The 17,691-nt window shown below is 33.7% G+C and overlaps 1 long non-coding RNA gene across 1 annotated transcript in view; it reads left to right on the top strand.

The window, feature by feature from the left end:
• LINC01677 (long intergenic non-protein coding RNA 1677) overlaps positions 1-17,691 on the top strand; it is a 100,630-nt gene that overhangs the window by 20,745 nt on the left and 62,194 nt on the right. Inside the window, exon 4 of the long non-coding RNA NR_146609.1 lies at positions 15,165-15,343. This is a non-coding gene — a long non-coding RNA (long intergenic non-protein coding RNA 1677). The remainder of the gene's footprint in view (positions 1-15,164; positions 15,344-17,691) is intronic.

Below are 17,691 nucleotides of genomic sequence, written 5' to 3'. Positions count from 1 at the left end.
CAAACATCTATGTGCAGATTTTTGCTTGGACATAAACTTGTTAACACTTTTGAGAAAAAGCCAAGAAACATAATTCCTGGATTATGTGTTATGAGTATGTTTAGTTTTGTAAGAAACTGCTAAACTGTCTTCTAAAAGTGACTGTATCATTCTGCATTCCCATAAGCAGTAAATATGAGTTCTTGTCGCTCCACATCTTCACCAACATTTGGTGATGCTGGTGCTCTGGATTTGGCCATTCTAATAGTGGTTATCTTGTTTGTAATGCTATCTCATTGCTGTGTTAATTTATACATTCCTAATGACATATATGATGTGAAGCATCTTTTTATATCCTTATTTGCCATTTGTATATCTTTTTGCTGAGATATCTGTTAAGATTTTTGGCTCAGTTTTTAATCAAGTTGTCCATTTTATTATTTTTCAGTTTTAAATGTTCTTTACATATTTGGGATTACAGTTCTTCGTCAGATATGCCCTTTGAAAAATATTTTCTCTCAGCCTGTATCTTGCTCTTTCATTCTTTTGACAGTATCTTTGATAGAGCAGATAATTTTAATTGTAATGTACTTCAGCTTATCAATTATTTATTTCATATATTTGGTGTTACTAATATCTCTAAAAATCATCACCAAAATGAAGGTCCTCTAGATTTTTTTCATATGTTATATTATAGGAGATTTTTTAGTTTTAAGCTTTACATTTTGGTCTACAATTTATTTTGAGTTAATTTTTGTGAAGCATATAAAGTCTGGGTCTGGTTCATTTTTTTAAATTTTTTTTAAATACATTTTGTATATTCCATCAGATTTTGTACATAGACAATAATTTTGTCATTAAATAAATGATTTTTGCCTTCTTCCCTTCCAATCTGGGCTTTGTCCTCCCCCACTTTCTGTCTGTGTCTCTCTGCTTTCTCTCCATCTCTCTTTGTGTCCTTCTCCCTCTCTCTGTCTCTGTCATCATCACTGTGTCCACCAAGCCCACTGTCTTGGTTTTTGCCTTATTGGACTGGATAGAATCTTTGGTAAATGATTGGATAGAAATGGGAAGTGGTAAAAGTGGATGTGGACATTATTTATCTTATTTCTGATCTTATGAGAAAGGCAGTACATACTTTTCTTTCAGAATAGTATCAGTTGTAGGATTTTTATGGATTCCATTTATCAGATTAAAAGAGATTCCTTTTGTTATTAAATTGCTGAGAATTTTTGTCACAAATAATTTTAGATGTTATCCCATACTGTATCCGCATCAATATCTTCCTTCTTGCTTTCTTTATTTCTTTTCTTTCTTTCTTTTGTAATGCCTTTGGTTTTGAGATCGGGTAAGTTTGACTTTATAGAATGAGTTGTGGAGTATTTCTTCCCTTTCAAACTCTAGAGTATTCTGTGTAAAATCAATATTACTTCTTCCTTAGCTATCTGATATAATTCACTAGTGAAGGAATCTGAGCCTTGAGTTTGTGGTACAAAAGAAAGAGAAATTGTGTTGGGAGTCTGGGAGTGAATAGAGAAGAGTAAATAAGAAAAAGGCATAGTCTTTAAGATTGATATGTGCAAAAAAATGCTCTCAGCTGGTCAGTGTGCTCCTGGTTGAACTATTAACTAAGATCTGTTCTGTTGACTTGCCGTGTGGTCACTGCCAATCTTTGCCTCTTCTAGTGTCCAATTCAATTATTCCATCATTATTATTGTAACAGCCATTAGTTGTGGGGCTAGTATAATAATAATATTACATTGTGAGTATTTTTGGTTAAATTATCATCCTTTAAAGATTATTTTTAATTAATTTCTACATATATTTATATTTTAAATAATAAAATAATGTTATACACTTATGCAATTATTTCAAATAATGTTCATTAATTTTTACAGATCTAAATTTCCTACAGGTCTCATTTTTCTATGTGTAATAAAGGATATTTTAAAAGCATTTCTTATATTGAATTACTGTCTATAATAATTTTTCTCAGCTTTTGTATGTCTGAAAGGGTACTTTACCTTAATTTTCATAAGATTATTTTGCTGATGTGGAATTCTACAATGAAACTCTTTATAAAACAAGTTTTGGCCAGGCTCAGTGGCTCACGCCTGTAATCCCAACCATTTGGGAAGCTGAGGCAGGTGGATCACAAGATCAGGAGTTTGAGACCAGCCTGGCCAAGATGGTGAAACCCCATCTCTACTAAAAACACAAAAATTAGCTGGGTGCGGTGGCGAGCCAGCTACTCGGGAGGCTGAAACACTGCACTCCAGCCTGGGTGACAGAGTGAGACTCCATCTCAAAAATAAAATAAAATAAAATAAAAATAAAAATAAAACAAGTTTCAAGATATCTACTCTCTTATTTCATTGTTTCCAGTGATAAATCTTCTGCTACTGTCACATTTTCTTCCCGTCTTTATATAACATTGTATTTCATATCTGGCTACATTTACGATGTTCTCCTATCACTGATATTGAGAAAATTGATTATGATGTAGTTCTTATAGTTATTTTCATGTTTCTTGTGTTTGGGGTTTGTTGAGCTTCTCAGATCTGTGGCTTTACAGTTTTCATAAAACATTAAAAATAATTCACCAATTATTTCTTCAAATATATTTTTTTCTTCTTTTCCTCTTTCCTTTTCTTCAGAACTTCCAATATATATATACAGTTGGCTCCTTGACATCTTTCTACCAGTTATTGATGCTCCGTTCTTTTTTTTCTCTGTTCTCTCAGTGCCTTATTTAACTACTTTGTATTCCTGTATTCTGAATGTAATATTGTTTTACTGCAATATTTATTAAGTTCTTGATCTCATCTAGTATATCTCAGACATTGTAGTTCTCACTATAGAAAATCAATTTAAAATTTTCATTTTCCATTTCCCCTGCCTCTATTTTACATTAGGTGTATATAATAAAGAAACAAAAATTGTTTTAATTTTCTTGCCTGCTATTTCTAGCCTCCCTCCATTTCAGTTCTGAGTAATTTTTGATTGATTTATCTCAATATTTTGAATTTTATTTTCTTGATTCTGTGCATAACTGGAATTCTTTAAAAAATAGCTAAAATTAAATAGCAAATATTGTGAATTTTACCTTGGTATGGGCTGGGTAATTTTGTGTCTTTATAAATATTCACAGAATTTTTTCTAGTCTACAGTCGTTAACTGAAAATATTTTGATCCTGTTGGCTCTTGCTTTAACAATTTTTTAGGCAGGGTGATAGAAGTGTTCATTCTATAATAGTAGTTTTTAATAAAGGCAATTTTTTACCCCTGGAAGACATTTGGCAAGGTCTGGATTTTGTAACCAAATTTTTTTATTTTTTTGAGATGGAGTCGCGCTCTGTTGCCCATGCTGGAGTGCAGTGGCGTGATCTCAGCTCACTGCAAGTTCCACCTCCCAGGTTCATGCCTTTCTCCTGCCTCAGCCTCCCGAGTAGCTGGGACTACAGGCGCCTGCCACCATGCACAGCTAATTTTTTGTATTTTTAGTAGAGACGGGGTTTCACCGTGTTAGCCAGGATGGTCTCGATCTCCTTGACCTCATGATCCACCCACGTCGGCCTCCCAAAGTGCTGGGATTACAGGCATGAGCCACTGCGCCTGGCCTGTAATCAATTTTGCAATCAAAATTGATTGTCAAATTAGGGATGAATGCAACTGACACTTAAGGGTTAGATGCCATGGATGCTGCTGAACATTTTGTAATGCTTAGGGCAGGCCCCCAACAACAAATAATCATAGCCTAAAATATTAAAATTTTTGAATTTAAACTCAAATATTTGAATTTTTCAAAAAAGTTGAATTTGGGAAACTCTGACTTAGGGCTAGTTATTCCACAAACGTAAGGCAGGACCCTTTTGTATATTCTACTCAATGTCTTGAGCAACGTGAATTTCTTTAGTATGGTTTGTAAGACCAGTACTAGGTTTGGATCCCTGTAAGAGCCAGGTGCTATCACATCGTATCTTTACTTGTGTGTCTATGCTGCGCCACAAACACGCTTGTCAAAAGCATGTGGAAGTGTCGATCAATACTCAGAACTGGAGGAGTTCCTCTGCAGATCTCTGAAGCCCTGTCTTCCTACAGCTTTCTCATCTCCAGTGTTCTGTTATGTAAATTCTAGCTCTTTTGTCTCCCCTGAGCAATATGTAAAAAAAAAAAAAGATACATATTTTCTCCAAAAAGTAGTTTTTCACGTTGAATTAATTTTTAGAGTTTTAGGATACTTGCTTGTCTTTAAAGTGTATAAGTAATTCACTTTCTCTTATTGTCAGCTCTGGAAATATTTATGAAATATTATTAAACTGAACATGTATCAAACCAGCTAAAAAGTGCTTATGAATATAGCATGAAAAAGAAATTCTGCAAAGGCACAGTGCAATTATGTGAGGCATTTGTATACAGTATTAGAAAATCACACCTCTGTAATGTTTTTATATTTTCATCATATTTTCATTTACTAATGTAGTTCACTGATTTGGTTAAAATCTTAACATTGTACCCTTCAACTAAAAAAATAAAATAAAAAAGAAACCAAATTGTTGTCAATTGAATAGATGTGGTTAATATCACAAAACCACATATTTTTGGAATTAGTAAAAACTTGCCATGTTGTGAAAAAGCATTAGGATCACCAGTTTTGATTGCCATAAGGTGGCTTTGGTATTTGGAAAATTAAATGATAATTTGTTTAGGATGCTTAGTTGAATATTTTAACTAAAAATACTCTAACATGAGTAATATTTTAGAAAATGAATGAGCATTGGAATCTCGTTTAACTTAATATTTCTCAACAGAGCTGTTTTTACTATGGAAGATCTCTAACAGTTGTAATATTGACCTTAAAGCGATTATTTCTCTGGGTAGGAATAGGGTGTGTGTATCTGTGTGTGTGTGTGTGTGTGCACGTGCGTGTGTATTTCCATGCCCATTGTGCATAATAACGATGCTATTCTATTTATAAATACAAGAAAATAAAACAAAATAACAACCATGTTATATATTCTCTTTGAGATTTTTAACTCAGAGTAACTTCATCAGAAAGTGTGGTGGTACTAATTATTATAGACAGCCAAATATGTAAGGATTTAACTAGCAAAGTTAATTTCATGTTTCTGGATCAAAAAAGTCTATCAAAGTTGGTTAACAACTGTCCATGACCTTCTCTGAGGCTGGGGTTATTAGCGTTACATAGAAATGTGTGTGTGTGTGTGTGTGTGTGTGTGTGTGAGACAGAGAGAGAGAGAGAGAGAGAGAGAGAGAGAGAGAGACTGTAGATTTCATAGAACTTTTTTAGTAATAACAGTTATTGTATTAAATGAGTTAAGTGCCTAGAGTGGAAGTTGCTCTAAAATATCCATTGTTGGAATAAATTTAGTATTGTAAACTGTAGCTTAGTTCACAGTAGCTATAACCTATAATAACTTCTTATGACCACAAAAGTAAAGTCGTTGTTAAATGCATTTCTTTGTAGAGAAGAGAGAAACAGTGGTTAGATTATTTGTTTAATATTAAATATCATATGGAGTAGATCCAGTACACAAACCCAGATATATTTAAGAAAAGCTTTTTGACCATGCTATCAATAATAATCTCTTTAAAACAAGTAACAAACAAATCAAAAATAAATCTTGAATAGTATTTCACTAAAGCACATCTTCCAAATAATACACGTTTTATTTGGTACTGTTCCCAATAGACCAAATGCAGCCTTCAAAGAAAACCATTTTTTTTTTCACTGGCAAAGATTTTCTAACAGCAATGTTGGTTCCAGTATTTTATTTGAGTAGTTATGGCTAGTGAATATGGACAGTAATTTCAAAATAGAAGCATAATGTTTTCATGGGATATCTACCATTAATGTCTTTCCTGACTGTGTTTTGCACTATGGCACTCAAAATGTTTTCAGCTAAGTATTTTTGACAAAATGTACTGTATTAATTTTTCCTTGGCTTCTGTCTTAGTCTGTATTGCGCTGCTGTAACAGAATACTACACATTAGGTAGTTTATAATGAACGGAAATGCATTGGCTTACAGTTAAGGGGGCTGGGACATCCGTGACCGAGGGGCTGGCATCTGTCAAGAGTCTTCTTGCTGCATCATCTTATGACGAAAGGGTCAAGAGAGGGCAAGACTGGGGGGAAGGGAACTCTCCCTTTTTACAAGGAAACTACTCCCTTGATGAGAAAGCCAACCCCGTAATAACATTAATCTATTCACAAGAGCAAGCAAAAAGGTCTCACATCTTAATATAAGCACAATTTTGATTGAATTTCCGACACATAACTCTAAGGAGACACATTCAAACAATAGCAGCTACTATAAAATGTAGTTACTGATCATAATCTGAAGCCTCAGTTCTACCCTACCACCAGATAAATTCTTTCAATTAAGATATTTTATCAGGAGATTCAGTCCCAATAGCTGTTCTGACGTTCAGCTCATCTTGTGGCCATTAATTTAGTGCCTGTTGTGGCTGAAGTGAGTGCTGTTGTCCGCTTCTCACCTCTATTTAGGGTGGTCTAATTCATATTGCTGAGCTTCTACTTAAGTGTTATTTTTAAGTTTTCTGATACACTTTTTAAATTGAATAGGTGAACAGGAGAAGCAATCTCCATATGTCTTAGTGCAGGATGAAGAGCATCTCCTTTCCACATTTAGAGAGGAGGACAGCTAAGGAGTAAAGAAGGCACATTCTCAGTTTGGGGTTGAGAGTTTGTGATTCAAGATATGTAGTATTCTGCCAAATCTAGAAAAAAATATATAAAATATAAGGAAAGAACATGCAAAACACAAATATTTCATTTTTAAAAAAGCCTACAAGAGTTTCTGAGCTAAAGCTAAATTTCTCATTATCAAACATCACCTTAAGGAGGAGTGTTGAACATTTTTAAAGGGAATGAATATGGGGCAGACATCAGGTTCCATGTAGACCTGGAGCCAGACTGTTAATACCATAAGGCATGGCGAAGTCACAATTCAATTAAACAAAATGCTCATTACACTAATATTTAATAAATTAGCTTATTAAACATAGGATTTTCTTACAAATTTGAAAGGTTTGAAGAGAATAATCACTATGATTATTCATTCTACTTTTCAAAATTCCCAAAGTTTTTGTTTGTTTTAGATTTAAAAGAATGAATAGTTTATATTAATTATAACCACACAGGCAATATACAAATAAAGCATTTTTAAAAGTAAAATTAAATACTATAGCCAAAGATACATATTTTATTATGTAGGATGTTATAATATAGTTCTTTAACAATGTAAACTCTTTTATTACTCTTCTTGACTATTAGATTAAAAACACTTTGTAAAAAAAATGGTGAGCATATAAGACTTCAGTTTCTCTTATTAAAATTGAAAATTCTTAATTTAGAATTTTTTTTGTATCTAAATATTGTAGGCTTTGAATATTATGTAGTTAACTTTAAGACTAGGCTGATTTTTAGCCCTATCTCCTCTCATGTGGACACTTGAGTATATCTTATTTTAAAAAAATTAAGCTAATAATTTACAAGATTTATTAATGTCAATCATGTTCTTTTTTTTTCTGAAGTTTTCTGTGTTCTTTTAATTTACACATATTTTCTTCACTACAAGAAAACATCCACCGATAATTTAGTTAAATACATTTATGTTCTATCTATTGAGGATTCCAATTATTATTTCATTGGATGCTTTTGCCTGTCTTCTATAAGATACAGCATTTTGTGAATTGATATGATCATTTTGTGATTTTTCCCTTTGACTTAGTTATTAATTCAAGACTTTTCCTGTATCAAGTAAAACGTAAAATGTCACTTTTGTCTTTTGCCTTTGTTTTAGCTTATTATTTGTTTTTTAGTTGACATCGAGATTCCTTTTTTTGAGACAGAGTCTCGGTTTGTCGCCCAGGCTGGAGGGCAGTGGCGGGATCTCCGCTCACTGCAAGCTTCGCCTCCCAGGTTCACGCCATTCTCCTGCCTCAGCCTCCGGAGTAGCTGGGACTGCAGGCAGCCACCACCACGCCCGGCTAATTTTTTGTATTTTTAGTAGAGACGCAGTTTCACCGTGTTAGCCAGGATGGTCTCGATCTCCTGACCTCGTGATCCGCCCGTCTCAGGACATTGATATTCTTGTCATTAACTTGTTACTTCAGTTTTGCTATTTCTATTTTAATCTCATTCCGTTGTTTGAATGTATGGTCTCTCACCTATCGCTTTCTTATTAAATTTACAATCATATTAAGTTCTTCTATGTTATGAAATTAACACTACAGAATGTTCTCCTATTTCTTAAATTATATATTCTTCCATGCCAGACTTTTCTAAGTTCTAAATATCCTTTTCATTTTTTTAATTCCTTTTGTTTTTGTTTTTTTTTTTTTTAGACAGAGTCTCACTCTGTCACCCAGGCTGGAGTGCAGTGGCGTGATCTCAGCTCACCACAACTTCCGCCTCTTGGGTTCAAGCAATTCTCCTCCTGCCTCAGCCTCCCGAGTAGCTGGGACTACAAGTGTGTGCCACCACGCCTGGCTAATTTTCATATTTTTTTAGAAGCAGGGTTTTGCCCATTTTCTTTAAAATATTTATTATTGTCTTATGCTTTTGCCTCTTTTAGGTCACATGTTTTTGTTATGTCTATGGAGACTTCTATTCAGATCATCTGTTGGTTTTGGTCTATGGATGTCTTTTTCTTCTTGCACTTTCTGCTTCATTTGAGACCTGATTGTCTTCAGTTCTTAGGCACAGTTTTAAGATTTACGTTGTCCTCTAAATGAAAACTATTAATAGAGAGGAAAACAGCTTGGCTAGAGCTAATTGCACACAATCTTTGTCTTCTCTCTTGAGATTTTGTTAAATATCCTTCCTGGCTTAATTCTACTTTATATAATCACAGTTCTGGTAAGTGGTTAGTGAATTAAAATTTTCACTACTCTATGTTAGAAGCTGATATGGTTTGGATGTGTGTCCTTGCCCAAATCTCATGTCTAATTGTAATCCTGAATGTTGGAGGTGAGCCTGCTGGAAGGCGATTGGATCATGGGGGTTGTTTCTCATGGTTTAACACCATCCTTCTTGGTGGTGTTGTGATGAGAGTGAGTTATCACAAGTCTGGTTGTTTAAAAATGTGTAGCACCTTCCCTTTCTCTATCTTCGTCTTGTTCCAGCCATATAAGACATGCCTGCTTCTCCTTCACCTTCCACCATGATTGTAAGCTTCCTGAGGCCTCCCCAGAAGCTGATGCCACCATGCTTCTTGTACAGCCTGCAGAATTGTGTGGCAATTAAAGCTCTTCCTTATAAATTACCCAGTCTCAGGTATTTATTTGTAGCAGTGTGAGAACAAAGTTATAAAGAAGCTTTCTTATCTTTTCCTTGGACTTTTGCTACTTAAAGTTCATGGCATGAGGTTGAAGTATTTTTTATTTGTTTGATTAGTAGAAGTGGAGATATTTCCTTTCATTTACTTATTTTTCATGCTTGAGTTATTTAAGTATGCATGCTGTGTAGTGAATCTAGAACTACGCTTCCCACTATCATTTTTACTTGGAAATCAATATGGCTAACTCTTAATAAAAATTTTTAACGTTAAATTAGATTAAATATGGAAAAATACCGGTCATTATTTTCTTATTGACAGATACTATTTTTGTCAGCTTCCTAGTAATGGTTGATATAGATCTTACATTTAATATATAACCTACTATTTTTAGAATTTAAAATGTGTCATATTTCACTTATAAAATTATGAATCACTGGATTAAAATTTTATGTCAAAAGAGTACTTTCTGAAATATTCACTGAGTCATACACATTGACAGATTAATACATTATGCTTCATTTTAAAAGACGAAAGGAAAATTAGAAAGAAAAGACAAAGGCCAGGAATGGTGGCTCACGCCTGTAATCACAGCACTTTCGGAAGCCGAGGCAGGTGGATCACCTGAGGTCAGGAGTTCAAGATCAGCCTGGCCAACACGGTGAAACCCTATCTCTACTAAAAATACAAAAAAGTAGCAGGGCCTGGTGATGGATGCCTGTAATCCCAGCTACTCAGGAGGCTGAAGCAGGTGAATACCTTGAACCAGAGGGGCAGAGGCTGCAGTGAACTGAGATCACACCACTGCACTCCAGCCTGGGCAACAAGAGTGAAACTCCATCTCAAAAAATAAATAAATAAATACATACATACATACATACATACATACATATATACATACATACATACATAAAAAGACAGAGTTAATTTATAGTTTTAACCAAGCAAAATTTGAAAAAGATCTAATTGGGACAGAAACTTCTGATTCATTTTCAGTATTCATTGTGTCTTTCTTTTTTTGGTGAAAAGATATCAACCCATTTCTCCAACATGTTTTAGGACAAGATGGCTGCACAAGGAAAGATGCATTTTCCAATATATTTTTGTAGATAGATAGAGCCATGTGGCTAAGTTCCCAATGGGATGTTTGTGCAACTTCAAGTTGATCTCATTTAAAAATTAAAATTTCTTCTCTGCACTTTCTATTTCTGTCTTCCTGCTAGAAAGGCAGAAGTGGAACAGCCACCATTAATTCAGGTATTAAAGCCTCATGTCAAGGATGACAGGGTTGCCCACAGCCATGGAAGGCTTATCTCTGGTCTTTCCCATGTGAGACAAATTTCTATCTTATTAAACTCAGTTATTTGGAGTATACTTGTTAGGGGAGTTTAGTCTAGACCCTAAATATAATACTTCATTTTTTAAAAAAATAATAATAAACAGTAGGAGGAGTCCACAAATTAACATTTCATGATAGCAAGAAAATATTAGGAAAAAATCATGATTAGAAAATTATGTAGGTTATCATAGAAAGAGGAAAAAGATAAGATCTTTCATTGTATCCTTTCTTTCTTCTTTTCTATTTTCTTTTTCTCATAGGGATAAAATTTACAGAACCATAAAGGCTAGGGTAGGGAACGTGTTACAAGTAAAGTGAGAGACTTTAATAAATTTGAGGTGGCATCATCAATAACTATATATAGTAGTAGTGAAGAAGCACTATATAGTAGTAGTGAAGAACAAGATAAGTAGACTAATTTGCTATTTATATTGGAGGTAAGATGTAGAGGGCTAATGGGAAAGAGGTGTCCCAACTGTATGAATTGTGCATCAGGTATATGGGGATGTTAAGTCCCATAAAGGCAGAGTTTTGTTTTGCTTACAGCTATCATTTAGTGCATAACACAATGTCTTTCACATAAAAGGCACTAAATTAATACCTGTATAGTGAGTGAAATATGAAGTACCCCTTAATGAGATAATGACAACTATGGGTTGAGGGATACATGTGGAATATTACAAGTTCAGATTTGAACACATTAATTTGTAAATGACTGCTTGTCTTCAAAATAGAGATGTTGATTCATCACAGTCAAGAAATAGAAGGAAAGAGAAGTAGTTTGATGGTTAATTTGATGTGTGAACTTAACTGTGTTAAGGGATACCCAGATAGCTTGTAAAACATTGTATCTAAGTGTTTCTGTAAGGGACTTTCTGAAAGAAACGAACATTTGTATTTATAAGCTGAGTAAAGAAGATCATTCCTTACCAGAGTGGGCAGGTATCATTTAATCCACTAATGGCCATGATAGAACAAAAAAGTGGGGGAAATGTGAATTCACTCTCTGGGAGCTGGCTCGTTCATATACTGCCCTTAGAAATCAGATTTTCAGGTTTTTAGGCATTCAGACTCCAGAAATTACATCAGCAGGCTCCCTGGTTCTCCCACCTTTGGCCTCAGACTGAGAGTTACACCACTGCATCTCCTGGGCCTTGAACTGAATTACATCACCAGCCTTCCCTGTTCTCCAACTGGAAGATAGAATTTCATGGGACTTCTCGGCTTGTCTGATTGCCTGAGCCAATTCCTATAATAAATCCCCTCTTATATATCTATAAATACCCTATTGGTTCTGTTCCTCTAGTGAGCTCTAATACAAGCAGTCTGGACAGGAGATATAAATTTAGAATCTTTATTGTATAGATGGAACATAAAATCATGTGTAAAGATGAAAGCCCTCTAATCTCTCCCTGAATGAAGAGAAGATGGCCTATGCTGTGGTCCTGAGAAACTCCACAGCCTAGAAAAAGAGTGGATAAGAAAAGTCCAAAGAGTATCATTATGGAGGACCTTTCACCCACACATACCCTCAGCATGCTAGGGCCATCTATATAAATAAAAGGTCATGGTATCCATTAACTTCAGAGTGACAGGAAACCAGAAAAAGACAAACAGAAGGAAACTATGAACTTTCTTTTTTTCTGAGTTGTGATTTGATAGTGTTTCCTGAAAAAAGTAATAGGGTATCTGAACACACACATGTAGGATCTAGGGTTTCAATCAAATAAAATATATAGCAAAATTATCTAGCATATTTAATAATGTGACTAATCCTTATTGTGCCTTATGATAATTAGGCACAATGCTAAGCAGCTTGCATAAATGAATGTAATTATCATGGTGTTTATATAGCTAAATTCAATTTTTTTAATCAATTGAAGAGTAGAGAGGCAAAAAATATGGAAAGAAGCATGCTTCTTTGAGATATCTTCTAAAGCACTTAGTAAGTAACCTAGTGGTATTATTCTTTTGAGACAGTAATCAAGCCCCTCAATCAAAATCCTTGCTAATTGCCTTCCAAGAAAAGCCGGTAAAAAGCAATACCTGAGTTTAATTTCCTTGAAGTTTGTCATCTCATTGATAAAGGTGCTCCAAAGATGAGAAGAACATTGTTTAGTAAAAGAACAAACTGGTAGGTTAGGCCAAGGTAGTCTTAGAAAAAGTCAAAGTTAAAATTATATATTATAATAAAGTAAATGTTAGGTTGAGCAAGCAAGATCAGAAGAGAAAGTCATATTTTTTTGTCTCTAATACTGCATAGTAATACACACACACACACACACACACAAAGATAGATAGATGTAGATGTAGACACATCTCACAGTTGATAGTAGCATGATTCGTAGTAGCCAAATTTGGAAGTAATGCAAGTATACACTGATTAATGAATAGACACACAAATTATGGTATATACATGCAATGGAATATTATTCATACTTCAAAAGAAAGGAAATGCTGACCCATGCTACAGCTACAACATGGATAAAACTTGAGGACATTATACTAACTGAAATAAGCCAGTCATAAAATGACAACTATTATATGACTTAACTTATATGAGATATCCGGAGTAGTCAAATTCATAGAGACAGAAAGTAGAATAGTAGTTGGGAGATGGGTGTGAATGAGGAATTGTTTAATTGTTTAATTGGTTTAGAGCTTCAGTTCTGCAAACTGAGAAACATCTTATCATTGGTTGCACATCAGTGTGAATGTTCTTAGCCCTACTGAATTGCACCTTTAAAAAAGTCAACATGGCAAATTTTAATGTGTAAAAATTTAAATACACACATATATACAAACATACATCCCAATATATAAGGTAAAGCAAAAAAGTCTCAATTTTTAAAATTGCAAATCATAAAATATATACTCTGACAAAACTGAAATTAAATTTCAAATAAATACTTGGAGTATTTCTGAAATATTCTCATGTATTTACAAACAAAAAACACAATTCTGAATAACTGTGGGTCAAAGAAAATCTTAAAAATCAAAAGTATTTTAATTGAGTAAAAATATACAACTTATCAAATTTGAGAGGTGCGGCTTAAGCAGTGTTTAAAGTTAAATAAATAACACAAACACATGTATTAGAAATGTCTGTACCCCCATGTTTTTTTGCAGCACTTTTATACATTTGATGCAAATGTTGAGTATTCCTTTAAGTAAATGATTGAAGTGTCTATCAACAGATAAATGGATAAATAAAATGTGGTCCTTATACACAATGGGATATTATTTAGCCATGAAAAAGAAAAAAATTGTCATTTGGAACATGTTTAGAATTGGAGAACACTATGCTAAGTGAAATAAGCCATCCTCAGAAAGACAGATGTTACATGTTCTCATTTGTGTGTAGAATCTAAAACAATCAACCTCATAGATAGGAAGCAGAGGCTGGAGGCTGGAGGAAATGAGAAGATAACGGTTACAGATTACAAAGCTTCAGTTCAATAGGAAGAATAAATTTATTTTGAGATCTTGCACAGAGTTGTAATTGTCTATTTCAAAATTGTTGAGAGTAAATTTCAAATGTTCTTACTATAAACAGTTATAAGTATTTGAGGTGATGATATATTAACAGCATAATTATTCTTTATTGTATTCATAAATCATAACATCACTTTTTCCCATAACTATATACAACTATAATTTGTCATTTTACAGTAAAAATAAATAGAAGAGAAGAAACAAATAATCTCAGCTTTGACCTTTAAATATTAAAAAAATTTAACAAATTAATCCAAACTAAGAAAGAAATAAAACAGATTAGAGTTAAAATTAATGAATTAAAATATATAAAATAGAGAAAATTAGTAAAAATAAAAGCTATATCGTTGAGATTAGTAAAATTGATGTCTTTAGCCAGAGTCATCATGAATAAAGAGTAAAAACATAAATTACTTACTTACCTTACTATATCTTAAAAATATGTAGAATGCTATATAAACAAAAAGTACTTTATGTAAATATACTCACCACCTTAGACACAATAAGTAAAATTCCTGGAAAGATACCCACTGCAAAGTTCACCGAAAAAGAAATTACTTGGATAGTCTTATGCTTATACATGTATTCAAAAATTAAATTCATTGTTCAAAATGTTCCAACAGAGAAAACTCCACTGCCAGTTGGCTTTACTTGTTAATTATAGCCACTACCCTAGTAACAAATAGTACAAAATTAACAAGAAGATATGCAAATGGAAAACAAAATTAAACGGAGAACAATTTTAAAGAAGATAAATGGATGGCACATAAGAACACTAAAATATGCTCCACATTATTAGCTGTGAGGGATATGCAAACTATAACACCAAAACAAAATATTACTGCAAACCTATAAGAAACTCTAAAAGTAGAAACACTAAAAATGGCAAGCACTGCTGAGGATGTGGACCAACTGAAAGTCTCATTACACTGCTGTGGTGGAATAGTAAACATGTTGACCGTTTTTAAAAAGTTAAACACATTCCAACTCTATTATTCAATTTTTCCACTCTTTAATGTTTTCCAGAGAGAAGATAAAGCAGATGTCCATCCAAAGACTTGTATGTGAATGTTCATAGCAACTTTATTTGTAATAGCCAAAACCTGAAAGCAACCCAAATGTATGTTAAGAAGCGAATGGATACATAAATTGTGGCATATGCATACAATGGGATACCCAGCAATAAAAAGGAATGAACTATTCAAGTAGGCAACAAAGTGGGTAAATCTCAAAATAATTATGCTAAGTTGAAGACGTCAGATAGAGTACATATTGTATGATTCTATTTATATGAAATTACAGAAAACACGAACTAATTTAAAGCAACTGAAAGCTTATCAGTGCTTGCCAGTGATCAGAATGGGTGGAGAGAGGCAGTAGAGAGGGATATGACAAATTTTGGAGGGATGAATTATAAAAATGAAGACACAACTATGTGCTGTCTAAAATAAGTTCACGTTAATTATAAAAGAAGGTTAAAGTTAAAATATGTAAAAATATAACTTAAAAACATTTAATTTTTAAAAGGCTGAAGTGGCTATATTACTATCAGAAAAAGTAGATTTCAGAACATGGCCAATTACGAAGTGGCGACATTTGTATTTGTTGTTTCCATAGTATCTAGTAATTAAAATGAAAGGCATGTTTCTGAGTTTTAAGGGAGTTATACTTCCAGATTTTTTTTCAGCCTGACAACCTATGCCTAATATATAGCTTGCTCCTACAGAAATCCCCGGTTCTTAAAAAGACAAGCCCTGCTAATGAGTTATAGGTCCCGTTTCTCCTCTCTTCAGGTATGGCTATTGATAAATTGTGCAAAATAGGTTGTTTCAGAGAATAGAAAAAGAGGCAACCATATATGGAATCCAGAGTGCACACCATTGCCAAGTCTGGGAGTAGTCAATTCCCCACATCAGGTAGACATGGGATGCACTACAGAACCCCAAACATTGTGTTCTGTGTCTCTTTATTCACTGTCAAGTTACATTTGATACTATAATTATCCTGCCCTTTTGTTTGTTGCTGTTTTTGCTGGCCTTTCACTATGATCGTATGTTGGAGGTGTTACATGTGGTTAAATTTATTGTTTAGCTCAGAATTTCTGGACCATGATAAATTACAAACATACCTGATTTCGAGAAATCATATTGAGCATCCTAGATTCAGAGAACCACTGCCCCATGACATCAACTTAGGATTCTGCAGAAGATGAAACAGTTGCCTATATTTGGGCATTGGAGAGGGCATTTTTATTGCATGTAAAATTATCATAATAATAATTATATTAATAGCAACAATTATACTGAATACCTACTATTTGTCAAGCCTGATAGCAGCCTTTCAAGTTGAATCATCTTATTTAATCCTTCAGAGGATTCTGAGGTAGAAATCAAAGCCTCAGATAGGATTTAAAAAATAAAAATAAAAATAAGACCAGGCACAGTGGCTCACACCTGTAATCCCAGCACTTTGGGAGACTGAGGCGGGTGGATCACCTGAGGTCATGAGTTCGAGACCAGCCTGGCTAACATGGTGAAACCCCATCTCTACTAAAAATACAAAAATTAGCTGGGTGTGGTGGCAGATGCCTGTAATCTCAGCTACTTGGGAGACTGAGGCAGGAGAATTGCTGGAACCCGCGAGGCGGAGGTTGCAGTGAGCTGTGATCACACCATTGCGCTCTAGCCTGAGCAGCAGAGTGAGAACCCATCTCAAAACAAAACAAACAAAACAAAACAAAAACAAAACAAAAAAAAAAAAAACACACAAACCTGGCGAGGGTCTCATAGCTAGGAAAATAATATACATGGAATATGAAGCCAAGCAATTCCACTATTACCTAATATGCTAAATATAAATTAGGTATGTATGTTCTTGTTTATGTATGCTTGGAAAGAAAGGGGTGTGTGTGTGTGTGTGTGTGAGTATGTTACAGCCAACTTCCTAACTTGTAGCAAAATCTGTCTAATCAATCCAGAGACAGGGATTGACAATGAAATTTAAGTCTTTAGATTCATCTGTGCCTAAATCCTGATTAACTCTTGGCTTTTCCTTAATATTAATCAGGCTAGTTAATTTCTTGCTCCAGTTTCATTGAGATTTTGTTACATTACACAGAAATGTCAAAACAAGAGCTTTTTGTTGACATGATGCTTTCATATGGTTCTGAAGCCTGTAAAAAATCTTTTATTCATAAATATTTTATTTGTTGTGCATTTATTATTGCATGAATTTTTATCATCTTTCTTATATTGTTATGTAAAATACAATTTTAATCTCTTTTATCTCTTTGAGAAAATTGTACACTCTTAGAGGGCAGCGTCCGTTTTATTTTCTGTTTTTTACTCTAAAATATCTTTGACTTTTTGTACATAATTAGTAGAAGTTTTGCTCAAGTAAATAGTGCTAAGTAGATGTAAGACTTTTTCACTTATCTTCTACAACGTATTTTATGTGTAAAGACTTCAATTCTTTCCTAACAGCAATGAAAATACTATATGGCATATTTAATTAATTTATTGATTTATTCAGCACATATATGATTAGAATCCCT

This window comes from Homo sapiens, chromosome 1 (genome assembly GCF_000001405.40).
Source record: "Homo sapiens chromosome 1, GRCh38.p14 Primary Assembly".
NCBI lineage: Eukaryota > Metazoa > Chordata > Mammalia > Primates > Hominidae > Homo > Homo sapiens.
This window is presented reverse-complemented; position numbering and strand designations above follow the sequence as displayed.